Source organism: Homo sapiens, chromosome 4 (genome assembly GCF_000001405.40).
Source record: "Homo sapiens chromosome 4, GRCh38.p14 Primary Assembly".
Classification (NCBI taxonomy): Eukaryota; Metazoa; Chordata; class Mammalia; order Primates; family Hominidae; genus Homo; species Homo sapiens.
In genome coordinates, this window is record NC_000004.12 from 142,408,901 (window position 1) to 142,432,373 (window position 23,473).

The 23,473-nt window shown below is 35.7% G+C and overlaps 1 protein-coding gene across 36 annotated transcripts in view; it reads right to left on the reverse strand.

Annotated features, from left to right (window-relative positions):
* INPP4B (inositol polyphosphate-4-phosphatase type II B) overlaps window positions 1–23,473 on the reverse strand; it is an 823,376-nt gene that overhangs the window by 385,741 nt on the left and 414,162 nt on the right. For all 36 annotated transcript variants that reach the window (NR_169617.1, NR_169615.1, XR_007057981.1 and 33 more), the window contains 2 exons: window positions 22,269–22,485; window positions 20,273–20,317 (listed from right to left, as the gene is read on the reverse strand). Coding sequence is in view for 33 of the 36 variants with exons in the window: in NM_003866.3 (NP_003857.2) it covers window positions 20,273–20,317; window positions 22,269–22,359 (136 nt within the window). In the remaining 3 variants the exon portion in view is untranslated. The remainder of the gene's footprint in view (window positions 1–20,272; window positions 20,318–22,268; window positions 22,486–23,473) is intronic.

Genomic DNA, 23,473 nt, shown 5'->3' on the forward strand with positions numbered 1-23,473 from the left:
TAGTGTGCTTGTATCCAGTGTATTTTTTATTGAAATGTGGGAAAAATAATAATACAGAAGGAATATATTTTTAAACCATAATTTGTGACTTGTCATCAGAAAAAAAATAAAGAGCAATAAGTGACTTTTTATTTCCTGATTACTTTTGCTATGGTAACTAGTAACATGAGGGTTCACATTCTACTATGAGTAGCTGTGAGTGAGATGCCTACAGGCATCCCCAGCTCATATTTGTACAGGAGCCAGGCAGTTTTCACTCTACGAGAAGGAAATCCTCAGTGGAAGCATAATAATAAAAATAAATGGAGGGGGCCACATGCGGTGGCTCACGCCTGTAATCCCAGCACTTTGGGAGGCCAAGGAGGGCAGATTGCTTGAGGTCAGGAGTTCGAGACCAGCCTGGCCAACATGGCAAAACCCCATCTCTACTAAAAATACAAAAATTAGCTGGCCATGGTGGTGGGTGCCTTTAATCCCAGCTACTCGGAGGGCTGAGGTGGGAGAGTCGCTTGAACCCGGGAAGCGGAGGTTGCAGTGAGCCGAGATTGCGTCATTGTGCTCTAGCCTGGGCAACAGAGCGAGACTCCTTCTCAAAAAATAATAAATAAATAAATAAATAAATAAAGAGACTCAATATCTCCGGTGACTGAGACTCTATCTCAAAAAATAATAAACAAATAAAGACTCAATATGTCCAGGGAGGGCTAGGCACTGAACAAACTGGAAAGCTTACACTATGTCATAAGATGGAACCTCTATACAAAGTCATTGCCTGAAAAAATGAAGGCCCACTGTGTCCTTGATTTTAGGATTTCTCCAAAGCTTGAAATCCCCAGTCACTGTGCAGGTGAACACTGGAACAGCTGCACAAAATACATCTGTTTGATAGATTTGGCCAGAAGTTTTTCTGAGGAATAGAAATTGCCAAATTCTAGTCTTGACGCTTACAGCTACTACCTAGCCTCTTAGGAAGAGGGCACAGATTTTCTTCTGCTCCAGTAGTTCTCACTGGAGAGTCCAGAGCTAAAAGGTGGGACTCTTCAGGATTTTTGTGAAATCAAAGATACTGTCTATACCAAAATACTGCTTTTTATAAAATATCAGTTTCTGTTTCCTGTGGCCATTATTTCAAAATCAGGTGAAGGCTATTGAGTCCATGATCATTTCTATCATTCCAACCAATTTTGGCTGGAAGCCTAAAAATACCTCTTGATTCACATCAGAGAGCTCAGTCTCAGCAATAATCAATTTGAAGTAGAACACAACTGTTCATTCAGGTGCTTTTGAGTTCAGCAACACTGCTCGAATTCAAGTAGTTGTAAAGCATACATTAGACAAGGGGGGTGTCAACAAGCAGATGCCTGCCCCAGGCTTTCACGAGAGTGGTGGTGTGAACCACTGAGGCACTGTGAATTGGTGGTCAACCCCAAGTGACCATCTCTTTCCCCCTAAGAAAACTTTCTTCTGTGAAGTGAGGTCTTTTCTCTTGCCTCACTCTTACTTCATCTCTCTTCTTGCCATTCATTGTTAATGGAATCTAACAAAATTTATCCTCTTTCTTCCAGAACAAAGCAGTGGCCACAGGTGCGTGGGAATCAGTGAGGGGGATATGACAAGAATTTCCACATCTCTACAATTCTGTACTCAAAATTAGCCAAAGGAAATTTAGACTTAGAGGAGAAACCACATACCATAGTGTATGGAGGATAAAGAAATTTTTTTTAACTTAAGATAAAACCTTATTTGAGAGAGCTATATATGACTTTGGATGAATTACTCAATCTCTTTGAATCTCTATTCTAGCATCTGCAAAATGGAAGTAAAAGAATGTACTTCATAAATTTGCTATAAAGACAATAAGGTAATGTATATAGAATGCTAATATATGAGTCCCTTTAAATTATTATTGACATTAATATATAGTTATACTGTGCATTAACACAAAAAATGGATTTTATCTATCCTATATTTTTATACTAATCATATGCTCAAGATATTCCAGATTGGTCCTAATTTTATATAAAGTTATTCTTTTTTCAATAAAAGCATTTGTTAAATATATACCTGTGATTTTTTTCACCTTATTTTCAGATAGCTAAATATACATTTTTAAAAGCTCTTTACTAGATCATGTGTTAATTGTGAAAATCAGAGGCATCATTAATATGCTGCTTTCTGTGAAATCAGATGTGTACACTTGCACTTGTAATTTTCACCTCTAATGAGGTACTTCCAAATGAGAAACTTACAATGGAGAAAGCAAACTTGACTTTCTCTCTCCCAGCATATGTGCTACATGTAAATGGTCAACTCACCCTTTAAGCAGGGGTTTAACTAGGAGGTTAGGGTTCCATTACTCAGTGGATGATGGCCCACAGGGGAGCACTTGCTTAACTACTGAGATGTCCCAAAGGGTCAGGGAAAGAGTTGCTTCTCTGCTCTGTACATTTCCTTCATCAAAAAGGAAGACTATGGATGCTAATAAAGCTTCTTTTTCTTGCAATTAAAACTAAATGTTACAGCTAGAGCCCAATATAGTCTGATAGAAGCATACCTTCGAATCTAATGAAAGCTCACCTCTTATGCCCTCTACAGACACTGCATAGGAGAAATGGGAGAGATAAATCCATGCCTGTTAAGAGCAAAAAGGGCCAGAGTACAGAGGACATTGGCATCCTAGAATAGAAAAGTGGCCTTAATACAAACAGGGGCCAGGCACAGTGGCTAATGCCTGTAATCCCAGCACTTTGGGAGGCCCAGGCAGGCGGATCACTTGAGGTCAGAAGTTTGAGACCAGCCTGGCCAACATCGCACAACTCCATCTCTACAAAAAATACAAAAATTAGCTGGGCATGGTGATGCGCGTTTGTAATCCCAGCTACTCGGGAGGCTGAGGCACGAGGATCACTTGAACCAGGGAGGCAGAGATTGCAGTGAGCTGAGATTGCACCACTGCACTCTAGCCTGGGTGACAGAGTGAGACTCTGTCTCAAAAACAAAACAAAAAAACCCAGAGCTTTAGGGAAATACCATTTGGCTTCCCACCTCCCTCAATAGCACCATTCTTATCTCACATCATTTCCCTAAGGATGTGCAAAAGACTTTTGCAGCCTAGGGGGCAGTTTTTTATTCAGAAATTCTTAATGTTTGTTCAGGTTTCTCAAAACTGTCACATATATGTCCTTCCTCTTTGTACTTCAGAAAATTAGATTCCACTAATCAACTGATAAGCCAATTTAGGTTATGTTTCCAGTCCAATAAATTATTGGACTCCATTATATGGTTTCACAGTTAACATTCTATACCAGTGATTACATCTAGATTAAATCAGTTTATATCATACATTAAAAGATATATAGAGCACTTAAAAAGCCTAATAGCCCCTCTAATTACTTTATTAGTATAATATGCTTTTCTATTTTTAATCTCCTTTGCCTTTTTTTGTTTTTTATTCTTCCTTCCCCTCAAGAATTTTAAGACAGCAATTTTCTGAAGCCTAGGATGTCAACCTCTCCAGCTCAGATCTCCTGAGTACATTCAGAAGAGGATGCTTCCTAGGCTCAGTGCACTACAATCCATGATAATTCAATTATATATAGTAAAATGACAGAATGTACAGTGTCCCTGCCTATACTAATATCCACACAATGAGAATTGCACAAGCAGTTGGAAATACTCTCTTCACTACTATCTGTTTATGGTTATTTCTTAGAAGAATATGTCTCTATATCATGCTGAGTTGATTTATGGCCATGAATATATATCCTCCCATCTTTCTTCTGTATTCTCTGTAAAATCTTTGAGTCTTTAATTCATTGAGAGTAGCTCTCATCTTGTCCTTCCTCTCATTTTAGCTTATTTTCAATCGGGCAAGCCTGCTTTTTATAATTTTCCTTTGACATTATTCTTTTTTCTTCTCTTCTCTGCCATCTCATATTTCCTCTCCAACATATGTGTTACTCTCATCACTCTGAAAGACGAGGTTATCAAAGTCACCACTCATATATTTTATAAGACTTGGGACTCTAGGAGTCAAGCACACACTGCTCTTAACAAACCACAGCTTCTCCCCTCAGTTCACTGGTTTTAAAGTCTTTATAGAAACAAAACAAAAATGTGTTATGTTCTCCTTAACTTTTGTGTGGGAGATTTTAATTGGCACGCACTTCCTAAAGGACCATGCATCGCTGCCAACATAAGAGATATTTGTTGGAAAAATAGGAACAAATGTATAAAAGTTGGCATTAAAAAATTAGAAAATGTGTGGGTTTTTTTAGTTTGTTTTCTTCTGTCTTTTAAGGCACTAAGTTCTAAAAATTAATGTCCCAAATTCAAAGCCAGGGTCTTTCTCTCCAAGAAAGACAATACGCATATAAGGGAAAATAATAGTACTAATTTTAGGTTTCTAAAAGGTCAGCGGATAAAAGCAATTCAATGTTTAAGACTGAAAGAAAAGAAATCAACCTAAGGAATCAGCTCATACATACACATAAACTAAATGAGTGAATAAACACACAGACAAATAAATAAAGCCATCCTAATGCAAGAATCTCTTAGGCATATTGAAATAATGCTAGATACTAGTATTCCTATCTTGCAATCATAAAATGCTAATATTTTCCATATTTTAGGGTTTTTATTATTAAAGATAATACATAAAACATGCAAAGAAGGTGAGGTGTGGCAGGAAGCATAATTTGCTAAATGCTTAATATGTACCAGGAAGTATTGGCCTTAGACCCTTTCCTTGTGTTAGCTCACATCTAGAACAACATGCCTATTGCTGTCTCATAGTTCCATTAGTTCCACATTCATATTTTTAACTAACCAGCCAGTCAATATTTGTGGTTACAGTGTCTGGCTGAAGGATAAATACTATCTTTTTATTTAACCAATAGCTTAGTATTCAGCAATCTGAGTTAATTTGTTTTCAATAATGTCATTCTGCTTGTCTGGTTGTCTGCATATTCAATGGTGATTTAGCTTTGCAACAAGAATTTTAAGACTCTCAACCCTCTGATAATAGAATCCAAATAAAACTTGAGGAAAGGATGAATCTAATACCATGGGGAGAAAACAGATGACGGAGTTATTGAGGAATATAGGTAATAATTTGCAAGAGGGAATTTAAGAGATTTTATTGTAGAAATATTGCTTTAGAATTCTTGCCACATTGAGATTTGAGCATCATTGCTCCTAAATTTCTTTACAACTGATTCACTTGTAAATTAAACTGATTTCCTTGAAGTAAAATATTAGCTTCAGATTGTTGGGAAATAAGCCCTGAAATAAAGTTTGTTATTTTTTTTACCATCCTATAACACAACAATATTAAAACATGTCACCATTATTTTATGTGTCTGTGTGTGTGTTAAATAGAAATGTGCTGGGCTTTTAAATAAAAAAAAAATGGATGAGAAGATAAAATTCACTTCTTTAGCTGGGAATATTATTGATACTAAAATAAACTTCACACCCAGTACCAATTCTCAATTTAAGTGTCACTGAAGAATCAAGAGGGAAAGAAAAACAACACAACCTCTGCCTGGAACAATGGTGCTCTTGGGAAATGCTCTTGGATTGTCTGTGCTGGGAAAAATGAAGATACCAGCTGTACAGCAGACAGCTTATTTGCATATGAAAAGAAAAAATTTGGTTCAAATAATTGTTGTCAGTACCAGAAGACTCCCATTCTCAAGCTTATGCCCTGCTCCCTTAGCTTCTCAGGTCAGTCCTCAGAAAATCCTATTTTGTCTTGCTTTCATGAATATTACCTAGGTGGCTGAGACTCCATCCTCAAGCAATTGAAATAAAAACAAGTCTGTGCCCGCATCTTTTCTGGTTGTGATATCCCACACTTCATGCCATAAATTCTAAGCTGGCCTAGCACCGCCTATCGTTGCATTCAGACTTGGCTCTTTTTGTGCATGCTCCAAATCCAAGTTCCACTTTGGAAACAACAAGTGTTTGCAGCTTTCTGCTGCTCTTTTCAGTGGGAACATATGTGCTGCTTAAGAAAGGATGAAAATGTTATTCCAAGAAGGAAAGCAGGTCCCCCTGAATACTAAAAGCAATATTGTGAGTCGGTTCATGGAAATCTGTAGTGTTAGGATTAGGCTGAAGAAGTAAGCGGAAAAAGAAATGCAAGGAACCACCTTAATTAAGCCTTTTACCACCCTTTCTCCAGGAGCTGAGGTGGCACCATTTTTTTGAACAACTACCACTGATATGGGAGCCAATAGGATTTCTGTCCAGTACAAGCATATGGCCCATGAGTGGATTCAGCAGTGCACATAGGTTATTGGGGAGGGGCTGCTTCCCTGACCTACCTCTGAACCAAAAGATGAGGCCAGTGTAGCTGGTGGAGAAAGGTTACAGGAAGGGTGGCAGGAAAGTCAGGGCTTCAGTTACCAAAGGTGGATGGCTAAGGGGAGTGGACTCAAGATGGCTGGACTCCGAGTGAATGCACAAAATGGTGTCAGGCAGAAAAGACACATGAAAAAATGCTCATCAACACTGGCCATCAGAGAAATGCAAATCAAAACCACAATGATACCATCTCACACCAGTTAGAATGGCGATCATTAAAAAGTCAGGAAACAACAGGTGCTGGAGAGGATGTGGAGAAATAGGAACACTTTTACACTGTTGGTGGGACTGTAAACTAGTTCAACCATTGTGGAAGTCAGTGTGGCGATTCCTCAGGGATCTAGAACTAGAAATACCATTTGACCCAGCAATCCCATTACTGGATATATACCCAAAGGATTATAAATCATGCTGCTATAAAGACACGTGCACACGTATGTTTATTACGGCACTATTCACAATAGCAAAGACTTGGAACCAACCCAAATGTCCAACAATGATAGACTGGATTAAGAAAATGTGGCACATATACACCATGAAATACTATGCAGCCATAAAAAATGATGAGTTCATGTCCTTTGTAGGGACATGGATGAAGCTGGAAACCATCATTCTCAGCAAACTATCACAAGGACAAAAAACCGAACACCGCATGTTCTCACTCATAGGTGGGAATTGAACAATGAGAACACATGGACACAGGAAGGGGAACATCACACTCTGGGGACTGTTGTGGGGTGGGGTGAGGGGGGAGGGATAGCATTAGGAGATATACCTAATGCTAAATGATGAGTTAATGGGTGCAGCACACGAGCATGGCACATGTATACATATGTAACTAACCTGCACGTTGTGCACATGTACCCTAAAACTTAAAGTATAATAAAAAAAATAGTGTCAGGCAGGTATTTAGGAGTTTGAGGGAGAATAAAGAAAATAGGGGCCTGGAATGTTGTCTTGAGGAGTTGACAGTCTTCTGAGGGAATTTGTTTGGGCAGGAGGTAGCAAGCCGACAGGGAGGCAGCTGTTCAATCCAGATGACTTCCCATACAACACACTGACTCATGGTCTGGGTTTTACCAAATCCTGAGCATGCTTTCCCAAACCAAAATATTCAGGAGAATTGCATTGTGCAGATGGTGGTTGGTTAAGGGCTTGAATTTTAGGAAATGATGTCTAAATTAAGGTTAAAAATTATTTAAGTAATTTTTTTTCCTGAAAATTTGTTTGGGCTTAATGGCTATGTGCTATTGCTCAAATGCCAAATATTTTACCAGTAGAATTAAATTATTAAATTGAAGACACATAAAAAGACAGATTAGGAAGTAAGAGGAATAGGGAAGAATGAGAAAAATAGATGGTTCTAGGGGCATAATGAGCTTCTCATTTTGTTGTCTCCATCTAGATCATCCTTTGGGCAAGAACCAGTTTTGAAGTGCTTAAAGAAGATAACTCCAGTTTCGCTTCAGTCATCAATCATGTGTGATTCTGTGTAGGCAAAAGACAATCTCAATATTCATTTGACTAACTAGGGCTTTGAGGGTGTCGATTCTTCTGTCATAAGATAGTTGACTCACAGGAAATAAAACAAGCTTCATACAGATAAGCTAAAGCTAGAAATGACTAGTGATCCAGGATATAAGAGAAGGAGGAGTTTATAAGTGAGAAAGTAAATCTGGGCTGGCTGGAAAGCAGAGGGTCTAATTACTTGGAGCAAAATCCACCAATTCAACAGTTTGTGAAAGCAACCGAGATCAGACAACTTCGTGGGAAAGAGTAGTTCTAAGAGGATCAGTGTTTGAAGGAAAAAAGAGCATACTTCTCAGAATATTTGGGATCTCCAGGGAGAGCAGTTCAAATGAAAGCTCAGCAGAGTGGCTGCTAGCTCAAAGTAGAAAGCTTCAGAGCCCTAGGCATACAGGAAGTTTCAGAACAGAAGAGTAGTTTACACTACTCAAATTAAATTAAAAAGAACCTCTTCCGGGATGCACTGTAGCCTAGGCAAGATGAGAATATGATGCACCTTCCCTTCTGTTTAAGGTCTTCTTGGCAGTTCTTACTTGCTCTGCCTTCCAAATTGCCAAAAGTTGAGGGCCATAGATTCAGTCCTGACTGTGTGATTTTGGGTTTGTTACGGAGTCTTAGTATCTTCATCTGGGAATGGGGATGATAATTATGTTTATTCTCACTTAGTGCTTGTGTGGATCCAATTAAATAAAATGTGTGAAAAAATGTATTAAATTCCTAACAATGTATTAGTAATATACTTCTCAATTTCATCTATATTAGCTCAAACAACTTGCAAAATAGGAATTATTATCTGCAATTCACAGATAAGGAATCAGAGTTTCAGGGACAGAAAGGGATTAACCCAAGATAATAATTAGAATAATACCATTGGAGAATCACTTATACATCTAGCACTATTCTTAGTGCTTTAGGAATGCTGTCTGATTGAGTTTGCAAAACGACCCAGGAATGATGAATTTTTCAGGATTTTTGAGGCGGTATCAGGATCCAAAGGCTCTCTCAGGCTGGCAGTCCAAATACCAGCCTGGCCCTGACTTCCCTCACGGGCACATGTTGTAAGCTAAAATTTAAGCTCAAATCTCCTTATGTCAGTCTATTTCTATTATTTCAGTTGTCTGTTCTTGTTGTTATTTGTATATGTCTGTTCTTAAAAACATTTCTGCAAGAAGATTGGTTGCTTCTTTGATGCTGTCATAACATAGGAATCTTCAGGTTACATTGCAATAATTTTGGCTCCCCAATTCTACACAGGTATGCAGTCAACAGATACGCAGTCTAATTATAGAACTCAACTTGTTCACCTCCAGCCTATAAGCTGATTCTTCTTGTCAATTTTCTCTAAAAGAACCCCAAGGCCAAAAGACTCTATTTCTCTAAAATATAATATATTCATTTGCAAACAATGAAATTTTAAAGGTTAAATATTCATTTGAAATTTTAAAATGGATTACTTTTTACAAATAATTGTGTTGGCAATAATTATGAAACATTTCAAGGGAATATATAAATATATTGATTTATTTTATGAATAAATGTGTGAGGATAAAGCAATGGAATTCATGCATATCAGCCCATAGATATTTATTGAACGTCCAAATGTGCCCAATATGATTCTAGGTGACAGTTTCACAGCATTGAACAAGAAAATAAATTCCCCATTTTATGGTGCTTATAGTCTAGTATGACAAGAAATTTTTTTAAAAAACAATGAGAATTCTAAACAGTGTAATAAACTTGAGAGTGTTAGGGACTGGTAGATCAGGCAAATGTTCTCTGATGAGGTGGCATTTGAGCTGTGACCTAAAACATACCAAGGAACCAGCTAAGGGGGGACAATAAGTATGAAGACCCAAACATCTGACCTATTTGAGAAGCAGAAAGAAGCCCCATGGGTTGATAGAGAGTGAGCTAGAAAATTAACACAAGGTAAGGTGAGAATGGCCTGCTCCTTAAGACCCATTTTGATTTTACTCTAAGTAAAATTGAAGCCATTGGAAGATCTTAACTAGGGGAGTAAAGAAATTACATTTCCATTTTTAGAAGACTGGCTTTTCCATCAGGTGGAGACTGAGCAGGGACAAGAATAGAAACAGACTCACGAGGACTTGCCTGCTGGCGCAGGTGAGAGTTCACAGTGGCTTGGAATTGAAGGACAGTGGTGGGGATGGAAAGGGGTGGTGAAATTCAGAATATGTTTTCAACCTACAACTTACAGGACTTGATGATGGATTTAATGTAAGGTTAGAGAAAAAGAAGAATCAAGAAGGCATTATGGTTTGGGGATTTGAGTAACTAAGTGGATGGTGGTGTGCTTTATGGAGATAGATACCATGGGGGAATACAATATTTGGGGGGACAAAAGTAAAGATTTAAAAACTCAGGTTCTGGCCATCTTAAAATTTTTAAGATAACCTCCTAAACAAGCGAGTGGTGTTATCTGGTAGCCAGTTGAATATGGAAGTAGAAAGCTCTGTGGAAAAGTGAGAGCAAGAGTTACACATTTTGAAAACAAAGGCTTATAAATATTACCTAAAGCTGTGGGCCTTGGAATTGCTTAGAGGGAAAAGTAATTTGCACTGGGATAAAACTGACATTCTAAATTTGAGCAAATTTTGACCTGGGAATACCCGTATGCTCAAACGGACTTCTGCCACCTTATCACTGTGGATAACAGCTGAGAATAATCTCTTTGTCACTGGTAGAGCTGATGGAGGAGTAAGGGACAGAGAACTTAAGCTTTGGGCTTTCTTCTACCAGAAATGCCACTGCAGGCAAGTCACTTAACCACTCAAAGATTTAGTTTCTTCCACTACAAAACAGGAATAACATTGCCTTTGCCAACTACAAAAGCTCAAATAAGAAGCATTTGGGGCAAAGACTGTTTTGTACAATAGAAATGTAAGAGAACTTATCTTTAATATTTAATTGCACTCCATTAGGTCTCTTCATGTCCCCATGGCGTGGTCCCCAAGTGACTTAAGATACATTTGGATGCCATCTGCTCAACAAGAAGACTGACTGACAAATTTCAAGCACACAGACAGCAACATCAGGGGACCTCTCTCTCTCCCAACCCTGGTGGCTTTTGATTTTACAGAAAGCAAAAGCATCTGATAAACAAAGCCCTGAGGTAGTCCTGATTCCTCAATTACCCCTAAGTAGCAACAGATGCTGCACAGAGGGACTTGCTTCAGTGACCAATGCTCTCAGTAATTAGACAATGGAGGGAGAAAGTAATTAGGTAAACCACAAAGAAGTAGAAATAAACTGTATGGGATATGTTGGTCATGGATGAAAGACAAATTAAAAAAAAGTATAAAGGAAACATCTAGGAAAAAATAACTAATAAATAATTTGCTTAATCCATGTTGAATAATCAATTTAAGCCTGTGAAGTTAAACCTGATTAAAGATATCCCTTAATTAAAAAGTTCCTACAATGTATTACTTAGAAAGAAACATGACAAGAAGAATAGATCTATTTTATGTCAACAACAGTTCAGTTAAATGATATAGTCCTGGCAAGGAGAAGTGGGAGAGAAAAGTTTGAGGTCTTATATACTTCTCATTTATTAATTGATGTATCATATCTCATATCTGCGGGGTGCACCAAATGTGAATTTAAACCAGTGTCACTAAAAACAGGCTACAATCCAACTGCAGAACATGCTAAATCTTGGTCACCAGAAAACCACTACCCACCCGACAGATGTGTAAAGAAGCTCTAATTGGTTCATTTTCTCTTCCTTCAATTAAATAACTATATCAGAAGTACAAAAACCTCATGTAGGCCTTAGATAACCTTTTATTGCTGTTCTCTTTCCCATTCCTGTACTTTTAATCATAGACCACAAAGAACATGGCCTTTGGAATTAAAATCCAGATTGCTCTACATTCTAGATATAGGCCTTCACACAAGTGAATGAACTTGTCTGTGAAACATAGGTAATGGGAGGCAACTGTTGAGCCTGTAATAGGAACAAAGGAGAAAATGTCAAAAGTGTTTAATGCCTTGTGCTTAGAAGGTGTTCAGCAAGTGATGGCAATTACTATGCACAAAAGTTCAGTGGCTAGACTCCCTGCTCAAGGAAGTTTTGAGTGTGATAAAGTCATTTATTCAAGGAAGTATTAATCATAAGTTAACCAACCACTTACGCTAATTCATTTAATCATCACAAGAACTTTATAAGGTAAATAGTAATATCCTTCCCATTTTCCAGATAGGAAATAGAGATTCAGAAACATTGGGCTATTTTTCTAATGCCTTATAGCTATAGAGTAGCAAAGATAGGATTCAAACACTAGCAAGTTGGCATCATACTCCTAGTTCTTAGTTGGAAGCTATATTGCCTCCCTACTTAGGCTCAGTTTCAGCCTGGAATGCAAATCCATTTCTATTTGTTGTCTTTATTTTTGTTGTTGAGTTGTTGGTGAATGCCTGTTCTGAAAAATATCTCCTCAAAAGTACTGCTAGTTATCCGATGCTCTCAAAATTGACATAGCTCAAAGAAAGGCTCAATGGGAAAATTATTGTCTATATAAGTAGGCAATTAGAGGCACAGCCTGCCTAAAAAATCCTCCCTGTCCAGCTCAGCATGGCCTGAGCCTCCTCTGAGTTTCATCTAGCACAGCCCCAGAGGCAGTAAGACTCAATACTTCATGATACCTACATATAATTTGGTGGCAATAAAGATGTTTAAAGACTTGTGTTCATTTAGAATTTTAAAATGAGTCTCTGATATACATGCAACAATTATAGAATATTGCAAGAGAATTTCTAGAGCTTTAATTTATTTTACAGTGGAATTATAAGCAATAAAGAGAGAAATGTAAATGAGCATTAAATGCATCACCTTGGAAAATGAGCTCTAGGATTTCATGTATTTTTCTATTTCGTTTTTCTGAATTCTCTCATGTTCCTCCTAAACCAACTGAAATCCTGCTCATTCTTTTAAGACTTGGTCCAAATGCCTCTTCCTCTGAGATGCTGTTTTTGATGCCATTGTTACAATGAATTATACTTGCTCAGCGCTTCCATAGTTTTTGGTTTATGCCTTTATTTTGCCCTTACCACAATCTGCCTGACATTATTAAAGTTGTTTATCCTCATCACCTCCTGAAAACTCCTAGGAAGTACAAATCAGTGAGGAGGGGGATATTGCCTGATGGTTAAAAGCAGGAGCCTCCAAATCAGACAAAACTCAGCTTAGATCCTGACTCCATCATTCAGCTTCTGTAAGATCTTTAGAACGTAGACCGTTGAGAATCTAGGATTCTTAATCTGTCCAGTAATGATAATATGGGAGAGATATTATAGTATGAACTCAGACTCCTGGGTTCAAATCTTAGGCTCACTACTTTACCAGTTTAATTCTAAGTTTTCTTACATAGAAATCAGGGATGATAAAAGAGCAATTACTCATAATGAAATGATAAGAAGTAATTAATATATGTAAATTATTTAGAACAGCATATGGCAAACAAGTAAGCAATCAATAAATGTTAGTTACTTTTAATATTATTATCCTGTAGAGTTGTGGTGAGAAATTCATGACATGCTGTTTGTAAAGTTAAGCCCATAATAGATGCTGAAAAAATGGTAGTTGTTGCTGTGTCCTCCTAGGGCTTTGAACAATGACTTGTCATTAGAAGGCGCCCAGAAAATGGTAGTTCAGGGAAATTCAATGTTTTATAAGGGATGTGTTACACTATAAGAAGCAAGAAGGCTAGGTGTGGTGGCTCATGCCTGTACTCCCAGCACTTTGGAAGGCTGAGGTGGTAGATTCACTGGAGCCCAAGAGTTCAAGACCAACCTGGGCAACATAGTGAGAACCCCCTCTCTACAAAAAATAAAAATGAAAAAAACTAGCCAGGCATGGTCATGTGCACCTGTGGTCCTAGCTACTTGGGAGGCTGCTGGTGGAAGGATTGCTTCAGCCTAGGAGTTGGAGGCTGCAGTGAGCTATGATTATGCCACTGTGCTCTAGTCTGGGTGACCGAGTGAAACCTTATCTAAAAAGAAACAAACAAACAAAAAACAAAAAACAGAATCAAGAAAATGGATGTCAATCAACTTATAATGAGGCAGCAAAATATAAAATAAGGCAAGCACAGGCCTTGTTTAATTCTTAGCCGTTGGTTCTCTTATTGCATCCTATGTGGTGAAGTAAGAGTTTTATCAATAGAATAAATGCAAAAATATACCTCTGTGCTTGGTATTCCCTTCAGCTAGCATGCCATGTAAAAGGCAAAAATACTAAAGAAGATATCCTAAAACCCTCCATTCTCCCACTGGAGTTTTAAAAAAGTCAGAGCTCTATAATCATTTATAGAACACAGACCAGCAAGAGAGTAGGATTGTGAACATAGAAGATAATTCATAAGTTGGGCCTCTTATGATTTTTCCTTTTAGAAAAACATATAAAACAATGCCTGATTTATAGCAATTCATAAAGTATGAATGGACCTGACATTCAGGTTAATGAAGGCCCTTGCAAGTTGTAAATGCTGTGTCTGTAAAGTGATGAGACATTTTCTTGTGCAGATTGTCAGTTGGGGCACATTTCTATACATTTTTAAATGCCGAGCACAGAAAACTGATCACATGATTTTATCTTTTTTTTCCCCTAAATGGGCTACTAAAATACAGTACCTGCATATATAAAATCCAAAATCAGTTCACATTATTTAATACATGACCTAACAGACAAAGTATTTAGAATCAGCTCTCTCCTGGACAAAGCCTTAACCACCAAAGAGGATAAGCACTCCTTATTTATAGCCACGATAATATTTGAATTAACCTACCTAAGGACCTCTTGTCATTGTACCAGTACATATTGTTGTGAAAAAACTGAATTTTAATCATTAAACTCTAGGACGGTACACATCATTTACCTGGTACAGATGTATACTGAATTGCATATCCACATGACACTTTTTACAATCATCCGCTTCCATAGAAAAAAAACAGACCTTCTACAAGTGGTGGCTTACAGAGTGAATATGAAGTTAATTTCCTATAAAAAAAAAAACCTTTATGTATTTTTTATGTACTTACCACTCTTCCCAAAGGATCAGGATGTAGATTAATCAGGAATCCTATTTGAGGAGAATACTGTTTTCATTTTCCTTCTAGAAATACAAGATGGCGGGCCTTTCTATATGTAGCTTGTATAATAAATAATGATTTATTGTGTGTCTTTTTTGTATGTTCTGAATTTGGAGCTTTCATCTTGTTCCAAACACAAACCATCTGCTCATACAGCTCTCCTACTCTAGAATGTAATTTCCCCTTTCCTCTAATTATTCTAATCCTGTTTCCTTTCTTCAAAAATTGGCTTTAGTCAGTCTTCCTTAGTTAGCCTCAGTGACTACGCTTTCTCATAAAATTTTTATGCAATCCCTAATATTCTTAGATACCCTAGGAAATAGGTTAGCTGTTAACTGTTTTTTTAATGATTTCAAGAGTAGTAGTTTAATTTCTCTAATTCTATTTAGAGTAAATTAAAGGCAAGAAGTAGAATTTTACTTAAGATATGCCATTTTTCTTCTTCAGTGCATTCAGGTTATTTATTAAAAACAACAACACTTGATTATGAAATTTACATGTGTACATTGCAAAGACCTTACAAGATATAGAAGAGCATAACAAAGGAAATGAAAATTCTACCAACTGGTGAGAACCATGACTGAAGATACACACACCTTCCAATCTTGTTATCTTGCACACACAGACACGGATAGTTAAATAAAGGCCATATTGTGCATATTATCCTGCTTTTAAAACTTTCATATTCTTTTGTGTGATGAAATATCCTTCTGATAAATGATTTTTAATGACTGATTAATATCCTATCTTATGAATGTATGTTTCACTCTAAAAATTAAATAATAGCTTATATTCATCAACTCTGAGTTGGGGATGAAATACAGTGGCTTTTACTTTCTTTCATCCCTCCTGAATTTGACATAGAAGAAAAGCCAGGAAATGAGATGGTGAAACAGGAAAAAGAGGGTTAAATATGTCTAAAAATGTATGATGGATGGCCACATTCTAGATATAATTGTGATGTGTTTCCACATTGCCTATTATTTATTTTTTGTGATAATTTTTGTTATATTAATATAAAATTACACCAGCTAATGTAGATTTACCCATTTTAGAGAAAACCAAGAAATAATGGCTCTGTTAAACAATTTGAATCACAGGTTACTCCTATTTTATGTGCTAGTGAAACCTATGGTGAAGGAGTCAGCACATTTTAAATTTAAGAGGAAAAAACTTTTCCAAAGAAAATTATTCTATACATAATACATGGATTCTTAAAATAAAACAGCTCCACAAAAGGCAAAAGATCTAACAATCGGTTGGCTTCAAATCCCATGTCTCTCCATCCTTTACTCACTAGATGTTCAGCAGCATCCAATCACCAGGCCTGATCCCATTATTCAGATAGCTGCAGCTTAGGTAAGGGTGAAAGTGAGGGGACAATACAAGAAGTATGAGAATGAGATCTCACTAGCTCAGCATCTAGTCTATCCTGCAATTGTCCTACTCTGATCTTGGGACTCCAGTAGCCCAGCAAATGGTCCTCCACTATCTTGCCATTTTCACTGTGGCTTTTTTTTTCTTACCTTGAAACCAGAACAACGTATAACTTGGTTTCATTCCTGGTCAAATCACTAACCTAATTTACTACCCTTCGATCCCAGTATTCCCATTATAAGAACCCTATTATGTGTCATTTCAATGTCTAGTATAGCTTGTCCCCTCCTACTTGGAAAGTCACCCAATTCTTAGGCTCAATATGAACAATATCCAAATTAGTATCTATATCCTGCATAAGCACCTAGAGGTCTTCTTTGAAAACTATATCTAAAGTAGTCTCTCTTTCGCCCAAGTCAAGTGCCTCTCCCCCAGATATGTTCTATCCAGTGGCCTCGTCTTTCTGTCTACATAGAACTTAACACTATCTGAAATGATTTTATATACAGGCTTTCTATGCCTCTCCCAATATAATTTAGATGAATAAATGACCTGTGCTTATTAATGCTTTCACTCTAGCTTCCAAGCCCCCATTCGTATCACAATCAACCCCAAAGCTTGTTGACATGTACAAAATGTATATTTTATTGTACCCCATATCTGGTCATTTGGCTTGCATTGAGTATTAGCCATCAAGGAATTAATTTCAAGAACATTACTTCAGAGCGTCAAGGAAAGAACACAAGGAACACATATGCAAACATATGCATGCCATTCTTTCCTATGTATTTAATAGGTATTAGTATCTATTGTTTTGGATTTATAGTATATGTGGTGTACATACAAAAATATGAAGACATATTCTCATAAGCATTCTATTGACTCTAGACATAATAAGTGGAGGCGAATAATTAACAGGAGAAAAACCTTAAAGTAGTTCATAGAAGTGTATTTTATATACTTGTCAAGATTAGTCTCCTTTATACATTTTCCACAATTGTTTCCATAAAGAAATGTTCTTAGTTTTTAAGAAATGATCCCTCTTCGTAAATGTCAGCTTTATTGAAATCAAAACAATTTTATTAAACCATAAACAAACTCAGTGTTCTCTTAGGTTTTTAATTATTTCTTTCTTTATGAAAATAAAAAGAGTATTAACACAAAGAAACAAAATATGAGGAAACAGAGTCGCAGTTGTAGGGGTGAATTATTTAATTTAAATGCAATCAACCATTAGAAATACAGTTAACAATGGACAAGAGATACTCAGTTTTTCAGTACATGCTTATCTTGTGCTCAAGACACTTTTAGCCAATTAGCTGCTCAATTGACTAAGTACCTCCTACCTTACTTATTTGAATAAGTAAGGAACTTCAGTAGAGGAATTCAATAAGCAGAAGAACTTCAGCAAGACATAATTATTATATAGCAGCACACAAAGCAGACACAAATCCTTGATGGAAAATAACTTATACAAAGCAATATGGCACCTAGCAAATTGATTGGTGTGGCTGTTTTCCTAATTTAGAAAGCAAGGTCATTGAAATTCCTAAATAATTTGAATACTTTGGTTAAGAGTAGAGAATCAAATATCAAAGATTTAGTTAAAATTAGACGAAAAAGCCCTCTTCCTTACTGAATTTCTTTTTCCTAGAATTTGTTCTTGTTTTACTTCTGATTAAATAAATATGCACACCCTTAAACATGATAAAAATATTTAAGAAGCTATTATTCTTTCATTGGGAAATGAATAGAAGTTACTCATACAATAATAGGTGACGTCGGAGGATTTGTGGAATTAAAAAATCTCAAAGAAAAAAATGACAAAAATGGACAGTAAAACATCCACGGGTTTATCTGTAATACCCTTGAAAGAGTAGTTTTTAAAAAATTCTTCAAGAAATGGTGTAGTTGAAGATCTTAAAGTGCTAAGGAACCTAACAGTTTGGGGACTGTGTCTTCTAGGATCAACAATACAGTTCCATGATGACTTGAAATAATATTTTTTTAGTAAACTTGTGTTCGCTCATCAAGCATTTCTTGCCATTTGACAAGATAAAATTATCTGTTGTTGTTTCTTAGTATATTTTAAAAATATATATAAAAAAAGAAATTGAAGTTTTTTATACTGGTAGAACATTATTATGAATAAATTCTTGCAGCTGCTAATCTCTTAATTCTTGATTCAAATCTGGAAATATAAGTGATGATGGTGTTGTTACTGAAATTTACTTGGCTTTCTAAACAAACAGCATAGTTAGGTCTTTGAACAAGATAGATTCTCTTAATTGCACTAGAAGACAGGTATTTGGTTCAAGTATGCCATTTCTTGAAGGCTGGCCACCACATTTGCCTAACAATTGCCACCCTAATTGCTTCTGCTGCTTCAGATTCCCTCTTTCTCCAGCAGGCAAACAAGAAAGCTTTATTTGTGCTTGGAAATATATCAAATCACTCTAATGAAACTTCACTTTTCAGAAGTGCTGTCAAAAAGGTAAAAAGTGAGTTTCTTCTCTTAAAAATGAAAGATGGACAGATGAAAGCTCAAGTTGTACGAGTGAAGAGTGCCTAGCCTTTCTTTTGCTCTTCAGCTCCATTTCCTAAAACACATTCTTTTTATATCTGATACAATCTGAAAACTCTCTAGAGAGAGAGGGAGAAAAAAATAATAGCCTCATTTTTGATACTATAAAATTTTCTTGAGTTTTTCACATTTCTGCCTGTTTCTGAATACCTGGAAAAATTTAAAAATCTTTAATATTTAATTTATAGCACAATTTTTAGCTATATTTTTTAAAAATAATGTTCAAAAAATGAATTACATACCAATTATGGTCTCAATAAGTCATATTTTAAAATAAAATATTTTCAGCAAAAAATATAAATTTAAAAAATAATAAAAATGCATGTTCCTAAAATACTTAGAAATTCCAACCACTAAAACCCAGTATAGAGTATATATATATATCTCAATTTGCTCCCAAAACTTTAGAAAATATATATATTAATATGTAAAGATTTTGATACTATAATACTATATGTGGTCTCTGTATACGAAATTGAATATGTGCATGTATTAGTCTGTAAAACTTAGTTTAAAATAAAATATAAAAATACTACTGTCTTTCCGAAATATTTCAGAACCATGACAGGAAAAAAAAAAAAAGACCAGTCTATATAGTTCATATGAACCACATTTTTACTTTAAGTACCTCTTTGTAGCTAATTTCCTAATGGTATTTTTGCAGTCATACTTAATTCACATATAAAGTAGTTTCCACTCATTAGTTAAGTAGTGGACTGGTCTCAGAATGCACACTTTTAATTCATCCTTGGACAAAGTTACAAATTTTTACATGTGACAGATATTTAGAGTTGCTTAAACAAGTCAAAGCTTGATTGAAAGTTAAATTCTCAAATGTCACTGGCATTTTCACAAAAATCAATATGGAAGAGTCAGGGAATGTTCTTGAATACGAGAGAAATGGGCAAGAATCCTGGAAATGCCATAAAGAACACAAAGAGAAATTATAGGTGGCCAGTCTCCAGTCCAGGTATAGAAAATTAGACAAACAGAGTTGCAGGAATGCTGGTTAGCAACAAAATGCAGTCACTACGTTAGACTGAGTGCTGGGCATGGAATGTGAGATCAGCAGACCTGGTTGAGAGGCAAAACTATCATCACTGAACCCTGTATCCTTGGGCAGCAAGTTAATTCCTATAAATTTGGAGAAAATAACACCTACCTTATAGAACAATTTTAAAAATAGAACAATGTTCATAAAAATTTGTCAAATATGTACTGATGTAAGCAATCTACCTATACTTTGCAAACTACTACACAAATTCTTATATTTATTGATATAAATAAGATGGAATTTCTTACCAAGGATGAATTCCAACTGCGGTTCATTTGGAGTCTTCTGGATACCTATAAATAATAGGAGCAAATTCAGATTTTTAAAAAATTGAATTATCAAGAATATGTCAATATATATTACTATGCTTCATTGTGACCAGAATGAATAAAGACAGTATTTGGCAGAATGAATAAACTTGGTTTATCAGGGTTATAAATAATCAGTTCTCAGGGCAGGGCATAATATTTGTTGCAGAACTAGATGTGACTTAAGATTTGATTGGTCATTTTATCTGTATGGTTATAAAGAAACCAAGAAATGTTTTTGTAAGCCATGGCAAACATAAAACATATTTCACAACTGTGTTTATCTCTTTTGGATGCAATGTAGACAGAAGTGGATCCTTCATAAAGAACCCCCTTACCAAAATACTCTCTTAAATGGATTTTTTTTCCAAGCCACTCTAACCTGCTGTAAACAGTAAATCAGTAACAAAAGAGGTATCTTCAGCTAGGTTATGATGGACATTGTAGTGCTGGTTATTCTGCTAATTTATTAATAGCTCAAACCAACATTTTGTAAAATGTTTCCATTCCTTTGGTCAGCAATGTTTAAAAAATATAACAAGATGGCTAAATAATTTAAGATGAGCTAGGAGTGAAAGTGAGTCTGGGGACAAAGGTACAGAAATGGAACCATCTAACAGCTAGAAGGTAGAGTGATCACATTGTGGGAAGTGATATGGGTAGATGCCTAAAATCCACACACAGTGTAGCAGCTTCCTAAACAAGAGTGGATGACTGGATGTATGAACGGGAGGCCATTTGTTACAACTCAAGGGTGGCCAAAGAAGCAAAACTAACATGTATGAAAAAGTAAACTATTTGGCAATAAATGAAAGAGTATTATACAAATCCTTTCCTTGCTTATTTTTGCTGGTGCATTCATCAGATACTATTTAAATTTACTGGCATTTGGTCACTAATATATTTTAAGAATCACCTTTTTGTATAAAAATTAACTGCTTTTTATTCACAGTTATTTATTATTTATTTTTGCACAGTAACTATATTTTTTCTCCTGCTGACATTTAGCAATTGCTTTGGTTAACAATTTTAGATTTTTCAAGAGAGGTTAAAGTGACAATCATTAGGTAGGTTTTTGTGAACTTGAAATGTCTGCGTTTTTTTAAAAGGTCATTAGCAATTAACTCTGCTTTCAACATTGACAATCAGATTTCTCAAAAACGCATCCAACCAATACAATTTTCTAAAGATTAGCTTTATAATGTAAATTAAAAGAGAAGGTTAGGCATATATTTGCCAGTGTTAAATAATTGGACTACAGGAATCTTCTGAAAAGAAAGGAAAAAGGCATAAAAGGCATAATTCATGCTAAACAATAAAACCCAAACCCTAGAATTTTAAATACAAAAGAAAACATACAATTCTTCCAATGATTTTATTTACTTGAGTAATACAAAACCAATTTTAATGTTCACATGCAAACTTGGCCAAATCTCCACTGGCTCTATATTTGTGGCCTAGTGCTCTCTGGTATGGCAGTGACAGTCTAAATTTCTAGTGTAACAATTTTTTTCTTAATGCTTTCAACTTAAGTACCTTTTGGGTTTAAAGAGAGAATTTCTACAGTATAAAAAAATTCCCATATAAGATTATATAAATGCCAGTTATTCTTAGAAAGTATTAGTGTCTAGAAGGTATACTTAAAAAGTATTCATTAGGCTCTTAATATATATTCAAGATATTTAATCTTGTTATTTGATATTTAACCATTTCATGGACTATCATCTATCTTACCCAAGATAAAAGATGAGAGGCATATCATACACTCATGCCACCAAGGTAAATAGTGCAAAGGAAAAATACTTTGGTAATTTCATGCCATTTATTAGAACCGAAGTTCCTATGAATCTATGAATGCATGTATGTATGTGTAAGTTTCATCGGCCCAATTTGCATCTTTAGATGCAAAAACAGGGAGGGATACACACATACTTACTTGTGAACTGACAGTCCCCGGGATCATTGGCCTGGGCTGTAGGAAGAAAGTGCTGCCCTTCTTCTGATGCCCCTTCCTCTTTAATTTCCATGATCAACCTTCACAGTTTTAAAATTTTCCAAATTTTCTTGTCCAAATGTCAGTTCTAGTGATTCCTGGTTTAATGTAGATGTATCTTCACACTAAAGATCTGATATCCCACTCTGAAATTCTGTACCTAGGAAACATCAAAAGTTAAAATTTCAGTCATATTGGAGTTCAGTATAAAGCTAAAAAGTAAAGGTAAGTAGAGACTGCAACTACATTCAAATAAACTTTCTTCCTGCCTACTCCACTCATACTTTCAGAACCATTCCACACAGTTAATGCATCATAAAGTCTAGGTTTAATAGGTATTCTCAAAGCAATTATTACATAGTCATATGAAAGATTTCTAAAACATGAAAGGTGTATTATTTATCTTCTAGTTCAGTCTGTAAGATAGTGGATAGCTATAGGGGCTGCTAACTTAGTATAAAACCTAATTTAGCAGCAAGAGCATGTAGCATCTTGTCAAGACATTACCATGTTTTGGCAAGGTGAATATTACTATCGTTCTTTCCATTAGAATTGCCCTTTATGCTCATCTCTCCATCCACCCTTGTTAGAACATTATTACTGACCACATAAAAAATAATTTGGCATGACATTCTTCTTCCAAGATGAGCCAACAGGTTGTACAGGAGAGTTTCCAACCTCATTATTATCCATGGAGTCTTTTGCTGCTCTACTTGATAAAGGTGTAATTGTTTAATGATCATGGTATATGCTGAAAAGAATGAATCATTCTTCTAAAAAGCTAAAGCTCAAGGGGAAATTAAAGCAATAGAAAATTGATGAAAATTAGCATGGGGAAAGAAAGACTCTCCAAGAACTTAATACCCTGTCATACAGACAGCCTCAAATACTTACAAATTCATTTTTATATTTAACATGATATATATGACCAAGAATAAATTTTTTAAAAAATCAATGTTGTTTTAAATCAAGTTACCAGCTGAATTAAAATGTATAAAAATATTTAAATGTCTGCCCAATGCCGTTTAATGAGATAGCAGTAATCAAGTTTGGTTTATAATACTAATAATGTCTCAAACTTCACAAACCAACAGCCTCACTCTTTGCAGTTCTTGGTAAAGTGGCTTCATTTATAATTCAGCTCTAGT